Genomic DNA, 18660 nt, shown 5'->3' on the forward strand with positions numbered 1-18660 from the left:
TTATTCTAAAACCTGCTTTATTTAGAAATTACAAAGAGCAAAGAGCAGAGAAATCATCACAGGGAGAAAGACTGTGTACATCATACGACTAGTCACTTGTGCTTCCATGCATACTGCGGGGCGGGGGTTCACAATACTTTTAACTTAGGGAGTTTGGGGGCCAATGGAAAATAAGTGGAAGTTGTTCTGAAATAAGCCCCAGGCGATTTTCAGTAATGAAAAGGAACAGAGATCATTTTCTTATAATGCTCAGCCTCAGAGAGAACAATTTTGGAGGCAAGAAATTAATAATTTAGTAACAAAGTGAAGCTCCATTGGTGAATACATTATGATGTAAAATCAAAGGTTGATCTGATGGTGAGCAATGGGTGCTCAGATGGGGCAGGTATAGACAGAGAGAAGTGAGGGCACTAAGCATCCATACCCAGCTCTACCTCGGAGAGCAGGGAAGACTAGAGGCCAGGAGAGGATAGGCAACCTGAGGAGACGGCTCTGCAGCCAGAGAAGGGCCTGAGGACTGTGGGACCGAGAGCTGGAGGCAGCACTTTAGTGCTTGTAGCTCTTCCTGCTGGAGGAGGAGGTGGTGGTGTACTTGATGGTGGAACTGCCGCCTCCAACAGAGCTGAGGCCACCCCCAATGGCTCTGCCACTGCTGGAACTGAAGCCACCTCCAATGCCAAGACCACTGCCATAGGAGTAGCTGCTTCCTCCACCCAGGCCTAAGCCACTGCCGACACCGCTGGCACCGCCATAGCCACTGGAGATGGTGGACTGTACTACAGCTGTGGTGGGGAGGGGACAAGGACACAAGAAGCCACGGTGAGCTCATCCTGCCGGCCTGAGCCCAGTCAGAAGAGTGCGAGGGCAGGGGAGGAAGGCAAGCAAAGGTACTTACAGACGTTGACTTGTCCAACGCCTTCGCCATTCAGCCTGTGGAGAGGAACACAGGGAGGGTGAGACCTCAGAGAGCTCTTCCTTCCCTGGACCAGTGTGGGCAGCCTCGGTGGGTGGAAGAGTCCATGGGAAACTGCTCTTTTAGTTTTCTCTCAAGAAGAGCAATTACGGCCATGAGCAGTGCACCCTAGAATTGTGCTCAGTGCCAGGAACCTTGAAGATGGACTCAGCTGTTGGAGGAAGTCGCGTCAGTTACCTACCTGCACTCCTCGCCCTCCAGCAGCTTGCGGTAGGTGGCGATCTCCACATCCAGGGCCAGCTTGACATTCATCAGCTCCTGGTACTCCTTCAGCAGCCGGGCCAGGTCCTGCTTGGCCTTCTGCAGGGCATCCTCCAGCCCTTCCAGCTTGTTCTTAGCATCCTTGAGTGCCATCTCCCCACGCTGCTCAGCATCAGCAATGGCAGCCTGCAGGCTGGCACACTAGGAGGGGAAAGGAAGAGAAGGAACTTCTTGTCTGCTCCTCCGGAGGAGGCTGGCCCTTGTTTAGTGAACCAGGGTCCTGTAACCCAAAATTGACAGAGAATGAGCTTTGACTCTTCCTGTCCAGTATTTCTCCATTTGGCAATATTTGTCTAGTCTGGGAGTCAAGTGACAAAGTCCTATGCCCCTTGTATTAAGCACCCGCATGAGAATGTGCGTTGCATCTTATGGGAGACACTACAATGGACCCAAAAACAAGCCATATGGAAGATGAATGCTCGGTTTGTACTGAGTGCTGTTTTCAAAACTACAAGAATGATTTTGAGGAATACATCTGGATGCCACATTAAAATATACAAAATTATGACCATCTGTAGGGGAGGTGGTAACTTTTTACCTGACTGTTGAGACCTGGCCTTGCTTGTGCCTCAGAGGCTCATCCTCTTGGGTGGGATTCACTTCTCTATTGAGTTCTCACTGAGGGCAAGAACTACACATGTTCCTCACCCTAGTGTTGGTTTACGTTTCAGGAATTATATCAAATAATGGCTAATGACTGCCTGATGGGTCTAGCAAAAAATGATGCTTCTTTCCTCCACTGCACCTCACTGTACCTGCTTCTTGACATGGTCGATCTCAGATCTCAGCCTCTGGATCATGCGGTTGATCTCAGCAATCTCCTGCTTGGTGTTGCGCAGGTCGTCCCCATGTCTGCCTGCTGTGACCTGCAGCTCCTCGTACTGCAGCCCAGAGGTGGAGAGAGAGACAGTGTCTACGGGTTCTTACCTGGGAGCGATGACTTTCACTTGTGTATCATGCATGTCATGAAGTGGACCTAATGGCTTCTCCTCAAGAAACTTGAGGAAAAGTTGATGTTATGTGGTGGGTGGATACTAAACTCTGGAGTCACAGACGATCCTCATTATGGCACCACTGCCTGCCTAGTTTCTTTAGGGAGTAGAAATATTCTGTACCAATTTCTAAAAGTCAGCAATCAGGGTGAAGATAAATGCAGAGATGACTATGTCCTTGTCTATGGCAGCTTTCCTCCTGCATTGGGTTCTTTTTCCTCCTTGACTTGCACATAAGTTCCCCAAATGTCTACTCTAATAGTGCAGAGTGCATGTCCTGTGAGAGGACCCCAGCTTCCTGTCAGGGGATGTCCCCAGTGAAGTCTGCAGTCCTCTGGTATTCCAGGATGGACACAAGGATTCCTCAGCAGCTGCCCACTCCCTGCTCACCTTGGTCTGGTACCAGGACTCAGCCTCAGCCCGGCTCCTCTGAGCAATCTCCTCGTATTGGGCCTTGACCTCAGCGATGATGCTGTCCAGGTCCAGGTTGCGGTTGTTGTCCATGGATAGCACCACGGATGTGTCTGAGATGTGGGTCTGCATCTGGGACAGCTCCTGCAGAACAGAAGGTCATAAGATCAACTTCACATCTGACATTTACAGAGATACCCAACCCTATACATCTTCTCCCCTTTGCAGACCCCATCAGAGTAAACAGAAGGATGGTGGAGATGCTTACTGCATCATACAAGGCTCTCAGGAAGTTGATCTCATCTGTGAGAGTGTCTGCCTTGGCTTGCAGTTCAACCTTGTTCATGTAGGCAGCATCCACATCCTGGGGAAAGAGCCAACAACCTGGAGTTACCTGAGCTCACCTTTCCAATCTACCCATCTTCTAGTCCTCCTGCCAATTCTCTCCCAGGGGAGCGAGGACACAGAGCCACTTCTCTCCTTCTAAATGAATTTGAACCCCCGGCTTCATCTGCTCACCTTCTTCAGAGTCACAAATTCATTCTCTGCTGCTGTGCGCTTGTTGATTTCATCCTCATATCTACAGGAAGAAAGGCATAGGACACATATGAGCCAGTGGGTAGGATGAAACAGAAAAGCAGCTTGGGATTCAACAATTTCCTGAATGGAATATATTCTAATTGAGCTTTCCTGCCACAGAGAGCCAAAGAGATGAGTTTTGCTACTACTAAATTTGCCACTTCTTTAATCCCCCCATCCTCCCATAACCATCTGTGGTTCTTGCAGGTTTGCTCCTAGGGACTAATTTGTGCTTTTCATTTCCATGGACATGGGTTGTTAGGAATCCTACACACATCTGGCCCTGGTCACCCAATAGTCTTGAAGTGTGTGCTGCAGGAAATGGAGTCCTCACTTGTTCTTGAGGTCCTCCACCAGGTCCTGCATGTTTCTCAGCTCCGAGTCCAGGCGGCCCCGTTCCCCGACGATGCTGTCCAGCTGCCTCCTGAGGTTGTTGATGTACTGCTCGAACAACGGCTCCAGGTTCTGCCTCACAGTCTTGGTGCCCTGCTCCTGCAGCAGGGTCCACTTGGTGTCCAGAACCTTGTTCTGCTGCTCTAGGAACCGCACCTGGAAGGGAAGCAAGATGGTCATTTTCCAGGCAAAGGAAGGAAGAAAAAGTGTCTGGTATCCAGTTTCCTGGCAGGTCTTGGAGGTCCCCATGGTGCTGGGCTACTACAGTGCATGTGGAGAGGCTCAGGCTGAGCTCTGCTCCCCCAACCCCTTCTCCTTTGCACCCCACCAGTCTCACTAGAGAAATTGTCCCATGGACCATTGAGGTGTTCTCACGCTGTAAGCTATTGATCATCAGTGAGTTTCAACATTTCTTCTCTTCTTTTTCCAGGCACAATCACAAATCTAGTTTAAAAATACTAATTACCTGATATATTGTACACAGTTTTTTTACTGATAGGATCTTAGTTAGGAGAGATATTATATGTTGACTCATGATTACATTTCAGTCTACTTTCCCATTTAGTGTCTCCTCTCAAATATTCTGATGTTATGGTCATTCTCTGTTTTTAAAATTAATTAGCATTTATCCATGTTTTACAGTTGTTTCTATGTCCCTTTTTTTCTTAATCCAGCCAGATTATCTTTTCCTTTTCTTTCTAAATCTTTTTCCTCTTACCCAGACCCCAGAGTGTAATTTACCAGCCCATATACTCCTGGCATTTGCTTTGTAATCTCTTAAACACTTCAGAGGGGAGAATTAACCTACTCCACTCTCTGATGGCCTCATCTGTGCTTCAGGGTTATGAAAAGTTACGGCTCTCCCTAGGCAGGAGTGAGGGCCACTCCAGAGATCCCATGGGGGAGTGATGCCCATCTGTGCTGCCTCCTGTGCACCGAGAGCCACCTGCACTCTCTGCAGAGCTGGGCTGAATCCCCTTCTCCCTCCCTCCTAGGTCTCCCTAGCAGGAAGGTGTTGCTCTTCTGGTCTGGGGACCCTGAAGTGCCCGATGGAGGGCATGGCACTGGCTCACCTTGTCGATGAAGGAGGCAAACTTGTTGTTGAGGGTCTTGATCTGCTCACGCTCCTCGGCCCGCACCCGCTGGATGGCGGGGTCAATTTGCAGGTTGAGGGGAGTCAGGAGACTCTGGTTGACGGTGACCTCTTGGATGCCTCCAGGGGGGCACACAGGGAAGCCAGGGCCCCCAAAGCCACCAGCAAGGCCGGCTCCACCACCCAGACCAAAGCCAATGCCGGCTCCACCACCGAAACCAAATCCACTCCCGGCGCCACCAAAGCCATAGCTGCCTCCGGCTCTGCTGCCATAGCCGCCACTGATGGCACAGCTGCCCCCTCCAATGGAGATCCTCTTGGAGCCCCCCAGGCCATACAGACTGCGGCTGCCAAAGCCAGCTCCTCCACATGCACCACCCAGGCCACCACTGCCCCTGGAGCGGGACACGGAGATGCTGCTGAAGCCAGAGCGGCTGACCCCAGGGAGCCTGGCTGAGTTGGCACTGAAACCCCGGCGGCTGCTGCTGTGGCTCCTGATGGTGGTGGATGTGCTGGCCATGGTTCCAGGAGATGAGAGGGCTGTGGCGAGCGTTGGAGGCTGGAGGCGAGAGGCAGGAGAAGCAGGACAAGGAATCGGGCTCCAGCAGTAGCTTATATATTATGAGAGAGCATGGGCTGGGCCCAGTCCTGGAAGGTGAGCTTGCAGGTTGGGAAGGGCTGGGCTTTACAAATAGTGAGATCACACCTGGATCAGAAAAGTTATGAAATGCTGAGATGGCATTTTTCACTTCCTTTAGTCAGGGAAAATGTTCCTGCCTCCAGCTTTGACTCGAGATTTCAGCACAGTAAGAGCATTCTCAGTTCATGAAGTTGAAGTTAGTCACTGTCTTCAGCAAAGGTTCTGCATGCTAGGCTGTTTATCAACATGCTGTGAGTGCTTTCCTCTTTCCAGCCTGACTTTCTTCCAGCAGAGATGTTGGAGATCACAAGCACTGTATTGCAAATGCCTTAACAGAAATATTAACATTTTTCCTGTAATTATTTTTCCTTCTGTGTGCAATTTCAAACATGTAGAGGAGCAGAACACAATGGGCCTGTATATACCTATTACCTGTTTCCATGATGATTACCTTATGGCCAGTCTTATTTCTTGTATATTTCCACCCGGTTCCCTTATCAATGTTAAATTTTTTTAAATCCCAAAAATATTTGGGATTTAATTCAATATTAATTCAATATTAATCTTTAAATGATAGACCTTTTAGAAATATAACTGAAATATTATTTTGTATTTTAAAAATGTATGTATTTATTAAGTCTTCGCCCTCAAGGAGTTGACTCTAATAAAGATGACAACACAAAAGGAGATAGAAGACATCACATCCAGTGGCATCACTGAGCTAGAAAGAAAGTAATGCTTTACTAGGAAGAAAAGAGCATAGAGAGGGGGTGTAGAGGGGACAGTGGGGAAGGGTAATTTTTTTTCTTTTTTTTTTGAGATAGAGTCTCTCTCTGTCACCCAGGCTGGAGTCCAGTGGTGCGATCTAGGTTCACTGCAACCTCCGCCTCCCAGGTTCAAGAGATTCTCTCACCTCAGCCTCCTGAGTAGTTTGAGATTACAGGTGGCCACCATCAAGCACGGCTAATTTTTTGTATTTTTAGTAGAGATGGTGTTTCGCCATGTTGGCCAGGCTGGTCTCGAACTCCTGACCTCAGGTGATCCACCTGGCTCAGCCTCCAAAAGTGCTGGGATTACAGGCATGAGCCACTGCTCCCAGCCAATTTGTGTATTTATTAACATCAATGTGTCTATTCAATTCTCCAATGTCCTTTTTCATTTATTTCCTTATTGTTTACAATTCTTTTGTTGATAAGACCAGGTTAATTGTCCTGAGTAGTGTTTCAGTCTTTGGGATTTCCTCATTGCTTACTCACAGTGTTTCATTTAAGATGCTACTGTGTCCTCTATATTTCCTGCAAACTGATCATTAAAACTTGAAGCTTAATAAGACTCTCATATACTTAGACTTTCCAGATGTGGATGTAGTAGAATGCCTATTTAAATACTGAAAATTGGCCGGGCGCAGTGGCTCACGCCTGTAATCCCAGCACTTTTTGGAGGCCGAGGGGGGCGAATCACCTGAAGTCAGGAGTTTTAGACCAGCCTGGCCAACATGGTGAAACCCCATCTCCACTAAAAATACAAAAATTAGCTGGTGTTGTAGTGCTTGTCTGTAATCCCAGCTCCTACTCCAGAGGCTGAGGTGGGAGGATCCCTTGAACCCGGGAGGCAGAGGTTGCAGTGAGCCGAGATTGCACCACTGCACTCCAGCCTGGGTGACAGAGTGACATTCTGTCTCAAAAAAATAAATTAATTAAAATAAAAAAATTGAAAATTGTTATTTACACATTCATTTATATGTTTATAAATTGAATATGTAATAAATGTTTAAGGAGAAAATACTTACTAAAGCCATTCCCCAGCCATGCAAACTTTTTATGTGGAAGTAGGCACTGTTACCAGGTCCTTGTGTATCCTTCTAGTAACTTTACTTGGATATGTTTCTGAGCTTTTTCTGGGGAATATGTGAGATTTGTGTATTTGTGTGTGTGTGTGCATATGTATGTGTATGAGAGAGAAGACAGAGGGTGAGAGAGGAGGGGGAGTTTTATATGTAAAGAGTAAGGCCCCTAGAAAGGTATTGTATAGGTGAATTATAGCTAAAGAGAGACAGAGAGAGGTTTGTCTGTGTGTTTTATATATTAAATTTGCATACATATATAAAATATTTTAAAATTATATATATATAAAACACATACACATGTATTATCTTCCAATTAAGTTTGTGTTGTCTCTACTTTGCCTTCGAAATCTATTTTTTTCTCTTTATTCTCTTTTACCACTCTGATCCCTTTTTTTCTGTTTGATTTCTCCATCTTTTCCTATACGTCAATTACTGTGCCTTCAGCAATATCTTTCTTTCCTCTTTGTGCTGCTTTCAGTTGGTCTTCGTTTCGATTGTTCTTTATTGTCTCAATATATTGTCCCTTAGTTCTCTTAATTTATGGAGGTCATCATTTCACTGAAATTTTTTTGCTAACACTTTATTGTGCCTTTTTTCTGTTGAGTGTTAAGTGCCTTTTTTTTCCTCACTCCTTTCAGTTTTAAATGCATAGATCTTTTGTGGGTCCTGGAATGCTTCCTTTCCAACTGGTGCTCACTTTTAATGAGATGAGCATCCTCTGGGGCTGCCATTTACAGGAGGTATTCTGGGAGGAAGGACCCGGGGCATATTCAGGTGGGTTGGAATTCTCATTATGGTACAAGGCTGTGTGAATAATTCTTTTAAACATCAATTCAAAAAAGCCAACAAAGATCACTGCAGAGTGGCTCACAAATCACAGGTTCTCTACTTTCTTTGCCTTACCAACAAAATGATGCCAATGGGCAACAAAATGCTATCAACGTGACTGGGCCACAGGGTGCCCAGATATTCGCTCAAACACTATTCTGGATGTGTCTCTTTGGATGCTTCTGTATGAGATTAAAATCTGAATCTAAATTGTTACCCTTCCTAATGTGGGTAGGCCTATTTAGTCAGTTGAAGGCATAAATATAATACAAAGACTGAGTAAGTGGATAATCATCCTGCATGACTGTCTTTGAACTGGAACATTGGATTTTTGTTTTTATATTGCCCTCAGACTTTATCTAAAACATCTGCATGTTCTGGGTCTCAAGCCTGTGGTGTTTTGGATTGAAGCTACACCATCAAATCTTTGGATTCCTTGGGATGGAGTCTGGAACTAGAACATCGGCTCTCCAACTTACCATCTTGGGACTTGTTAGCCTCCCAGATTACATCAGCTGATTGTTAATAATAATAATTCTTTCTCTCTTATCTATCTATCTATCTATCTATCTATCTATCTATCTATCTATCCATCATCTATCATCTATCTATATATGTGTGTGTGTGTATAACCGAAAGGATATCTCTTTCTATATGTGTGTGTGTGTGTGTGTGTGTGTGTGTGTATAAGCTGAACTTCATCAAAATTTCAATGCATGAGACTTTGCACAAAACACTGCCAAGAGAATGAGAAGTCAAGCCACAGAGTAAGAATATGTTGGCAAAAGACATATTTGATAAAGGACTGTTACCAAAACTATACAAGAACTCTTAAAATTAACAATAAGAAACAACCCGGTTATAAAATGGGCCAGAGTGTTTAACAGATACATGACCAAAGCAGATATACAAATGGCAAATCAGCATATGAAAGATGTTCAACATTATATGTCATCAGGTAAGTTAAAATTTAAAAAAAATGAGATAACACTACACACCTATTCAAATGTTTAAAATCCAGAACACTGAGAATACCACATACTGGTGAAGATGTGGAACAACAGGAACTCTCATTCATTGCCTGTGGAAATACAAAATGACATGGCCACTTTGGGAGACAGTTTGGCAGTTTCTCCCAAAACTAAACCTACTTTTACCATACAATTGAGCTATTGAACTCATTAGTATTTACCCAAATGAATTGAAAGTATATGCCCACCTAGAAACCTGCACACAGATTGGTGTGGTTTGGATTTGTGTCCCCACCCAAATCTCATGTTGAATAGTAATCCCCGATGTTGGAGGAGGAGCCTGGTGGGAGGTGATTAGATGATGCGGGCAAACTTCCCCCCTTGTGTTCTCATGATAGTGAGTGAGTTCTCATGAGGTCTGGTTGTTTAAAAGTGTGTAGCACCTTCCCCTTCTCTCTCTCTTCCTTCTGCTGCAGTCATGTAAGATATGCCAGCTTCTCCTACACCTTCCACCATGATTATAAGTTTCCTGAGGCCTCTCCAGAAGCAGAGGCCTATAGAGCCTGTATAATTGTGAGCCAATTAAAACTTTTTACTTTATAAATTATCCAGTTTCAGGTATTTCTTTATAGCAGTGCGAGAACGGACTAATACACAGATATTTATAGTAGCTTTATTACCAATTGCCCAAACTAGTGTGAAAGGAAAATAAATCTTGGGATCCCCAAATCACTAAGCTAAAGGGAAAAGTCAAGCTGGGAACTGCTTAGGGCAACCTGCCTCCCATTCTATTCAAAGTCAACCGTCTGTATTCACTGAGATAGACGCATATCTGATTGCTTCCTTTGGAAAGACTAATAAGAAACTCAAAAGAATGCAACTATTTGCCTCTTAGCTACCTATAACCTGGAGGCCTCCCTCCCAGCTTCAAGTTGTCCCATATTTCACACTGAACCAATGTACCTTCTTACATATATTGATTGGTGTCTCAAGTCTCCCTAAAACGTATAAAACCAAGCTGTTCCCCAACCATCTTGGGCGCAGGTTGTCAGGACCTCCTGAGGCTGTGTCATGGTGTGCATCCTTAACTTTGGCAAAATAAACTTCCTAAATTGACTGAGACCTGTCTCATATATTTGGGGTTCACACTAGGAAGCAACCAATATGTCTTTTAGTAGGTGAGTAGTAAACAAACTGTGGCCTATCAAGACAATGGAATAATACTCAACACTAAAAAGAAACGAGCTGTCAAGCCATGAAAAGACATGTAGGAAATTTAGAGGCATGTTACCAAGTGAAAAAAGCCAATCTGTAAAGGCTACATATTGTATGATTCCTGTTAGATGGCATACTTTAGGCACAATTATGAAGACAGCAAAAAGATTATTGGCTGTTAGTGGGGAACGAAGGATGAATAGGCTTAGAATAGAGGATTTTTTAGGGTAGCAAAACTAACCTGTATGGTACAATAATAGATAAATGTCATAATACATTGTTCAAAATCCATAAAATGTACAAAACTAAGATCAAAACTAATCTGTATGATACAATGATGGTAGATAAATGTCATAATACTTTGTTCAAAATCCATAAAATGTACAACACTAAGAATGACCCCTAATGTAAACTATGAACTTTGGATAATAATGACATGCCAATGTAGCTTCGTTGGTTGCAACAAATGTACTGCTCTGTTTGGTGTTGTTCATGGGCAAAGCTATGAATTTGTTTGGGCAGGGGATATATGCTAAGTCTTTGTATCTTCTGGACAATTTTGTTGTGAACCTAAAACTGCTCTAAGTAATAAACATAATATACTTTGGCTGAGTCCCCAACCAAATCACATCTTGAATTGTAGTTTTCATAATCCCCATGTGTCATGGAAGGGACTCAGTGGGAAGTGATTGTATCATGGGAGTGGCTTACCCCATGCTGTTCTCGAGATAGTGAGTGAGTCTCATGATATCTGATGGTTTTATAAGCATCTGGCATTTCCCCTGCTTGCACTCATTCTCTCTCCTTCCGCCCTGTGAAGATGTGCCTTCCACCATGATTGTAAGTTTCCTGAGACCCTCCCCAGCCATGCAGAACTGTGAGTCAATTAAACCTCTTTTTTATATGAATTACCCAGTCTCAGATATTTATTCATAGCAGCAAAAGAAAGGACTAATACAGTAAATTGTTACCACAGAAAGTGGGGTGCTGCTATAATGATACCTGAAAATGTAGAAGTGACTTTGGAACTGGGTAATAGGCAGAGGTTGGAACAGTTTGGTGGGCTCAGAAGATACAAAAATGTGGGAAAGTTTGGAACTTTCTAGGGACTTGTTGAATGGCTTTAATCAAACTACTGACAGTGATATGAACAATGAAGTCCAGGCTGAGGTGGTCTCAGATAAAGATGAGGAACTTGTTGGGAACTGGAGTAAAGGCCACTCTTGCTATCACAAAGAGACTGGAGGCATTTTGACCCTGCCCTAGAGATCTGTGGAGCTTTAAACTTGAGAGAGACAATTTAGGGTATCTGGCAGAAGAAATTTTTAAGCAGCAAAGCATTCGAGAGGTGACAGAGCATATTTGGAAATTTTGCAGCCTGATGATGCAGTAGAAAAGAAAAACCCATTTTATAGGGAGAAATTCAAGCCCTCTACAGGAATTTGCGTAAGTAACAAGGAGGTGAAAGTTAATCACCAAGACAATGGGGAAAACGTCTCCAGGGCATGTCAGAGACCTTCACAGCAGCAGACCAAGAGGCCTAGGAGGGAACAATGGTTTCCTGGGCTGGGCCCAGGGTCCCCCTTCTCTATGCTGCCTTGGAACACGGTGCCCTGCATCCCAACTGCTTCAGCTCCAGCTGTGGCTAAAAAATGTCAAGGTACAGCTCAGGCCATTGTCTTAGAGGATGGAAGTACCAAACCTTGGTGGCTTCCATGTGGTGTTGAGTTCACAGAAGTCAAAAATTGAGGTTTGGGAACTTCTGCCTAGATTTCAGAGGGTGTATGGAAACACCTGGATGTCCAGGCAAAAATTTGCTGTAGGGGTGGAGCCCTCATGAAGAATCTCTGCTAGGGCAGTGTGGGAGGGAAATGTGGGGTTGGAGCCCCAACACAGAGTCCCCACTGAGGCACTGCCTAGTGGGGCTGTCAGAAGCGGGTTACCGTCCTCCGGACCTCATAATGGTAGATCCACTGATAGCTTGTACTTGTTAATTTGCCTGCTTTAATCATTCCACAATGTGTGTGTGTGTATACACATGTATAAACATCATATTGAACTTCATAAATTTATATTCTTACTTTTTCAGTTAAAATAACATTAATCTTAAAACAAAAAATTTTGTGGGTTTTGGCAAATGTATATCATTATTTCATCACTACAGTTGTTTCACTTATTCACCTTGCAAAGATCTATTTTCTTTACATACAATCTTTATTCAGTTTGTTGAAACTAGCCTGCTGGGATTTGTACTGAAATTATGTTGAATCTATACATCAAGTTAGAAAGCAATGACAGCTTAATAATATTGAGTCAATTCAATTAATAATATTGAATATGTAATACCCCTTAATTTACTCACCTCTTAGATTTCTTTAATCATTATTTAGTAGTTTCTACCTATAGCTTCTTTTCTATATATTTTGTCAGATTTATGCCTAAGTCCTTAATCTAATTGTGCTATTGTGAATAATATTGATTTTTAATTTCAAATTTCAGTTCTTTATTGCTGGTATATAAGAATGTACTTACTTTTTGGCCAGGTGTGGTGGCTTACACCTGTAATCCCAACACTTTGGGAGACTGAGGCAGGTAGATTGCTTGATTCCCAGAGTTCAAAACCAGCCTGGACAATATGGTGAAACCCCATCTATACAATAAATATAAAAAATCAGCCATGCATGGTGGCATGCACCTGTAGTCCCAACTACTTGTGTGGCTGAGGTGGGAGGCTCACTTGAACAAGGGAGGTTGAGGCTACAGTGAGCTATGATCATGCCACTGCACTCTAGCCTGGATAACAGAACAAAACCCTGTCTCAAAACACAAACAAAAATGAAACAAAACAAAACAAAAAAAGAATGTGCTTACTTTTTACAGTAACCTTTTTTAATGCAGTTTTGCCATCTTTGCTTATTATTTCCTGGAGGTTTTTGGTAGATTCTTTAGAATTTTCTACATAGATTATAATGTCATATGAGAATAAAAAGCTTTATTTCTTCATTTCTGTCTAACTTTTATTTCTTTTTCACATCTTCTTGATCTAGTTAGATTTCCAGTACATTATGAATAGCAGTGGGAGAGGATATGCTTGCCTTGTTCTTAGTCTAGGGGAAAAGGGTCCAATCTCTCAACATTAAGTGTGATGTTATTAGCTATGGAATTTCTCTAGACATTCTTTACCAAGTTTAGGAAGTTGTCTCTATTCTTTACTTTCTGAGAGTTAATTTTTTTTAACTTGAATGGGTGTTAGGTTGTGTTTTATACCTTTTTTGCATCAATTGTTGTAATCACTTGATTTTCCTTTTTTATTCCTTTGATGTAGTGGATTGCATTGATTGATTTTCAATGTTAAACTAGGCTTGCATATCTGAAATATATCCCACTTGTTCATAGTATATAATTCTTTATATACTTGGTTGGATTCAATTTGATAATATTTTCTTAAACATTTTTGTGTCTATGTTTATAATAGGTATTGATCTGTAGTTTTTCTTTCTTGAAATGTCTTTATCTAGTTTTAATGTAAGTGTTATACTGGACTCCATATGATGAATTAGAAAGTGCTGTCTTGCTTCTATTTTCTGAAAGAGATTGTAGAGTATTGTTGTCATCTCATTTTTTAAATGCTCCTAGAGTGAACCAATGAAAATATCTATCTCAATGCTTTCTTTATTGAAAGGTTATATATTATTAATTCAATTTATCTAAGAGGTATATGGATATTCTGACTGTCAATTTATCTTTGTGAGATATTTGGTATTTTGTGTCTTCAAGATTTAGCCCATTTAATCTAAGTTTACAATTTGTTTTTAATATGAAAGTCCTTTAAAATTTTAATTTTAATAGATGAATAATAATTGTACATCTTCATGAGGTACATAGTGATGTTTCTAGGCATATAATGTATAGTGATCAGATCAGGGTAATTAGCATATCCATCGTTTCAAACATTTAGCTTTTCTTTGTGTTGAGAACTTTCAATATCCTCCTTCCAGCTGTTTGAAACCATATACATTATTAACTATAGTCATCCTACGGTAGTATAGAACACTAGAACTTATTCCTTCAAAGCAGCTGTAATTTTACACCTTATAACAAGTCTGTCTCTATCCCACCCTTCCCCCACCCTTCCTGTCCTCTAGTATCCTCTGTCCTACTTTTCACTTCTCTAAGATCAAGTTTTTTAAGCTTCCACATATGAGCAAGAATGTGTGGTGTTAACTTTCTGTCCGTGGCTTACTTCACTTAAGATAATGTCTTCCAGTTCCATCCATGTTGTCATGAATGACAAGATTTGACTTTTTAATATGGCTGGATAGTATTCCATAGTGTATATATACCACATTTTCTTTATCCATTCATCTGTTGCTGGACACCTAGGTTGATTCCACATCTTGGCTATTGTGAATAGTGCTGCAATAAACATGAGGTTCAGATATCTATTCGATATCATGATTTCCTTTCCTTTGGATAAATTCTCAGTGGTGAGATTGCTGGATCATATAGTAGTTCTATTTGTAGTTGTTTTGGGAACCTCCATACTATTCTTCATAGTTGTTGTGGTGGTTTATATTCTCACCAGCAATGTAAAAGAGTTTTCTTTTCTCTGCCTCCTTGTCAGCTTTTGTTATTTTTTGTCTTTTTGATGATAGCCATCCTAACTGGGGTGAGATGATAGCTCATTGTAGTTTTGATTTGCATTTCCCTGTTGATTCGTGATGTTGAGCATTTTTTATATATTTGTTCGCCATTCATATGTCTTCTTTCGATAAATGTCTGTTCAGATCATTTGCCAATTTTTAAATTGAATTGTTTGCTGTTTTGCTGTCGAGATGTTTGAGTTCCTTATATATTCTGGATATTGTTGGATGAAGACTCAACAAATACTTTAGTCTCATTCTGTAGGTTGCCTTTTCACTCTGTTGATTGTTTCCTCTGCAGTACAGAAGCTTTTTAGTTTGATACAATCCCATTTGTTTATTTTTGCTTTCATTGCTTGTTCTGTTGCGGTCTTATTTATAAAATCTTTTCCCAGACCAATGTTATGAAGTGATTCCCTTATGTTTTCTTCTAGTAGTTTTATCATTTTGGGTCTTACATTTAGGTCTTTCATTCATTTTGAGTTGATTTTTATATAAAATGAGAGGTAGGACTCTAGTTTCATTCTTTCGCATATGGATGTTCAGTTTTCCCAGCATCATTTATTGAAAAGGCTGTTTTTCTCCCCAATGAGTGTTGTTGAAAACTTAGTCAAAAATCAGTTGGCTATAGAGGTGTAGATTAATTCCTGGGTTCTCTATTCTGTCCATTGGTCTCTGTGTCTGTTTTTATGCCAGTATCATGCTATTTTTGTTACTACAGCATTGTGATATATTTTGACATCTTGTAGTATAATAACTTCAGCTTCGTTCTTTTTGATCAGGATTGCTTTGGTTATTGGGCATGGGGTGGTGGTCTTTTGTGGTTCCATACAAATTTTAGAATTTTTTTCTATTTCTGGAAAGAACATCATTAATATTTTGACAGGGATTGCATTAATCTGTAGATTGCTTTGGGTAGTATTGTCATTTTAACAATATTAATTTTTCCATTCCATGAGCATGGGATATCTTTCCATTTGTTTGTATGTTCTTCAATTTATTTCATCAGAGTTTTGTGGTTTTCCTTGCAGAAGTTTCTCACCTCCTTGGTTAAATTTATTCCTGGAAATTTTATTTCATTTTTATAGTTATTGTAAATGGGATTGCCTTCTTGATTTTTTTAGCTAGTTTTGTTTTTGGGTATAGAAATGCTACTGGTATTTGTTTATTAATTTTGTATCCTGCCACTTTACTGAATTTGTTTATCAATTCTAAGCATTTTTGTAGTCTTTAGGTTTCTCTATATAAAATATTATGTCATCTGCAAACAGGGACAATTTGGCTTCCTCCTTTCCAGTTTGGATGCCTTTTATTTCTTTTTGTTGCCTAATTGCTCTGGCTAGGACTTCCAATACTATGTTGCATGAAAGTGGCAAGAGGACAACCTTGTCTTATTCCAGTTCTTAGAGGAAAAACTTTCAGCTTTTCCTTGTTTAGCAATATGTTAGCTATGGGTTTTCCTATATGGACTTTATTATATTGAGGTACTTTGCTTCTGTACCTAATTTATTAAGAGTTTTTATCATGAAGGGATGTTGAATTTTATCAAAAGTTTCTCTGCATCTGTTGAGATGATCATATGGTTTCTGTCCATTCTATTAATGTGATGTATGACATATATGCATATGTTGAACCATCCTTGCATTTCTGTGATAAATCCCACTTAATTATGGTGTATTCTCTTTTTGATGTGTTGTTGAATTTGGTTTGCTAGTGTTTTGTTGAGAATTTTTGCCTCTGTATTCATCAGGGATATTGGCCTTTAGTTTTCTTTTCCATGTTGTGTCCTTGTCTGGTTTTGATATCAGGATTATACTGGCCTTGTAGAATGAGTTAGGAAGAATTTCCTCTGCTTTAATTTTTTTGGAATAGTTTGAGAAGGGTTAATATAGAGACAAGTTTATAGCAATAAGTGCCTACATCAAAAAACTAGAAAGGTTTCAATAAACAACCTAATGTTGTACCTTGAGGAACTAGAAAAACAAGAAAGAACCAAACCCAAAATTAGTAGAAGGAAATAAATAATAAAGATCAGATCAGAAATAAACAAAAATGAGACTAAAAAATACCAAAGATCAAGGAAACAAAAAGCTGATAAACAAAATTGACAAACCATTAGCTAGACTAAGAAAAAAAGAGAGAAGATGCAAATAAATAAAATCAGAAATGAAAAAGGAGCCATCACAATGGACAACACAGAAATACAAAGGATCACTAGAGACTACTTATGAACAATTATATGCCAATAAATTTGAAAAACTAGAGGAAATGGGTAAATCCCTGGACACAAACAGTTACCAAGATTGAACTAAGAATAATTAGAAAACCTGAACAGATCAATAACAAGTAATGAGGTTGAATCAGTAATAAAAAGTATTCCAACAAAGAAAAATCTAGGAGCAGATAACCTTACTACTGAATTCTACTCAACATGTACAGAAGAATTAGTAACAATTCTTCTCAAACTAAGCTATCAAATTTCCAATAGAGTTGTTTGTAGTATTTCTTTGTTACATTTTTAATGCCCATGAACCATAAGATTTTAATTTTATTTAAACCTATATGGATAATTTTTAACCTCCTTTTGCTGTATTGTTATATTCTAGATAATTTTTCTTATCAATTATTTTCTTTTTCATTATTTCTCAAGGGTACATATATATGCGGTAAGATTGCTTAGATTTTGGAAGTCAGTCTTCACCTTTCTGCTGTCAGGAAAGTTCTGGGGAGAATGTGAGGAAGTGCCAATGTGAGAAACTTCCCATATTGCTGGGGGAACTTTTGGAGATGAACACAGTTGGATGCCAATACAGCAGGATCCAGAAACACCAGTATAATCCAAGAAAATTTCTTCAGTGATACAAGAATCTTAGAGTTAGGAAGATAATTGTCACTCATGGAGGTAACAAGTACTGAAGTGGCCTGGGGACAGGACAGGACCTTGAACCTTATTCTGAGTTTTCCCTTCTCCATTCATAGAAGTTAAACCAGGACAGTTCACACCAAAGAGAAGAATAGGACCATCTCTTCTGAGCAACATGGATTTGGTTTCTTTGGATCTCTATCAGAGCCTTAGGCTTGCTATCTGTGGATCTCTAACAGAGCCTTCTCCTATGAGAAGGAGGACATTTTTTTCTTCTACTGTCTTCACTCTTCAAGGAATAAGCATCTGAGTTTTGGCCTGAGTCTTTGAGCTCTTAATTTGACCAACTCGAATGTCTCCAACTTTTCCCTGTTGTGAAGATTCTTGTGATGCACATCTGTGTGCATACACCTTTCTGAATTTGTTCTATTTCCTCAGGATATATTTCTAGAAGTATAATTACGGTTCAGTGTATGCACATTTTAATTGTGCTTGATACATGTTGTCAGGCAAGTTTCTTGCTTATGAGGGCAATTATAATGATTAATCACATATCTGATTCTTTTGTCAAATAACTTGCTCTAGTTGGCCGAGAATATGTTTCTTAACTGGACAATTAGGCTGAGCCCTGGCGTAAGGGGAAAAGTGGTCCTGGAAACCAAGGCAGAGGGAATGGGATGCTAGTTCCTGGTATGGTCAGTTAAAACGGAGTGGACAATGCTGGTGGACCAGATGCCTCCCACTCCATTTGCCAAAAGTTCATATGGAATTTGATCTAGAAATACACTCTGAATGTCATGATACCAAGCTGAAGTTTGATGAACCTCTCTAAAGGAGGGGAGTTATGTGTATAAAGAATAGATTATCTTTTAAAAACAACTATTCACTTATCAGATAAAAAAGTTTAAGCCCAAAACTTTGGCCCCAAAGCAAGGCAAAGTAAAAGAATATA

At 40.8% G+C, this 18660-nt stretch overlaps 1 protein-coding gene across 1 annotated transcript; it reads right to left on the reverse strand.

Moving 5' to 3' along the window:
* KRT6C (keratin 6C) lies at nt 1-5290 on the reverse strand. Its single transcript, NM_173086.5, has 9 exons — nt 4683-5290; nt 3551-3765; nt 3157-3217; nt 2906-3001; nt 2617-2781; nt 1990-2115; nt 1155-1375; nt 896-930; nt 1-782 (listed from the first exon to the last, which is right to left on the reverse strand). The coding sequence occupies exons 1-9, from the start codon at nt 5220-5222 to the stop codon at nt 547-549; spliced, it is 1695 nt and encodes a 564-aa protein (NP_775109.2). The 5' UTR covers nt 5223-5290; the 3' UTR covers nt 1-546.

The sequence above is a fragment of the Homo sapiens genome, chromosome 12, assembly GCF_000001405.40.
Source record: "Homo sapiens chromosome 12, GRCh38.p14 Primary Assembly".
Taxonomy (NCBI): domain Eukaryota; kingdom Metazoa; phylum Chordata; class Mammalia; order Primates; family Hominidae; genus Homo; species Homo sapiens.

Bases quoted from the DNA above. Each gene is read 5' to 3' on its own strand.
- KRT6C (NM_173086.5), bottom strand. From the start codon at position 5,222: ATGGCCAGCACATCCACCACCATCAGGAGCCACAGCAGCAGCCGCCGG. The intron at 3,002-3,156 runs GTGAGCAGATGA...CTCTTTCCCCAG, and splicing joins AATTTGTGACTCTGAAGAAG to GATGTGGATGCTGCCTACAT. The intron at 2,782-2,905 runs GTAAGCATCTCC...TCTGTTCTGCAG, and splicing joins TGAGAGCCTTGTATGATGCA to GAGCTGTCCCAGATGCAGAC.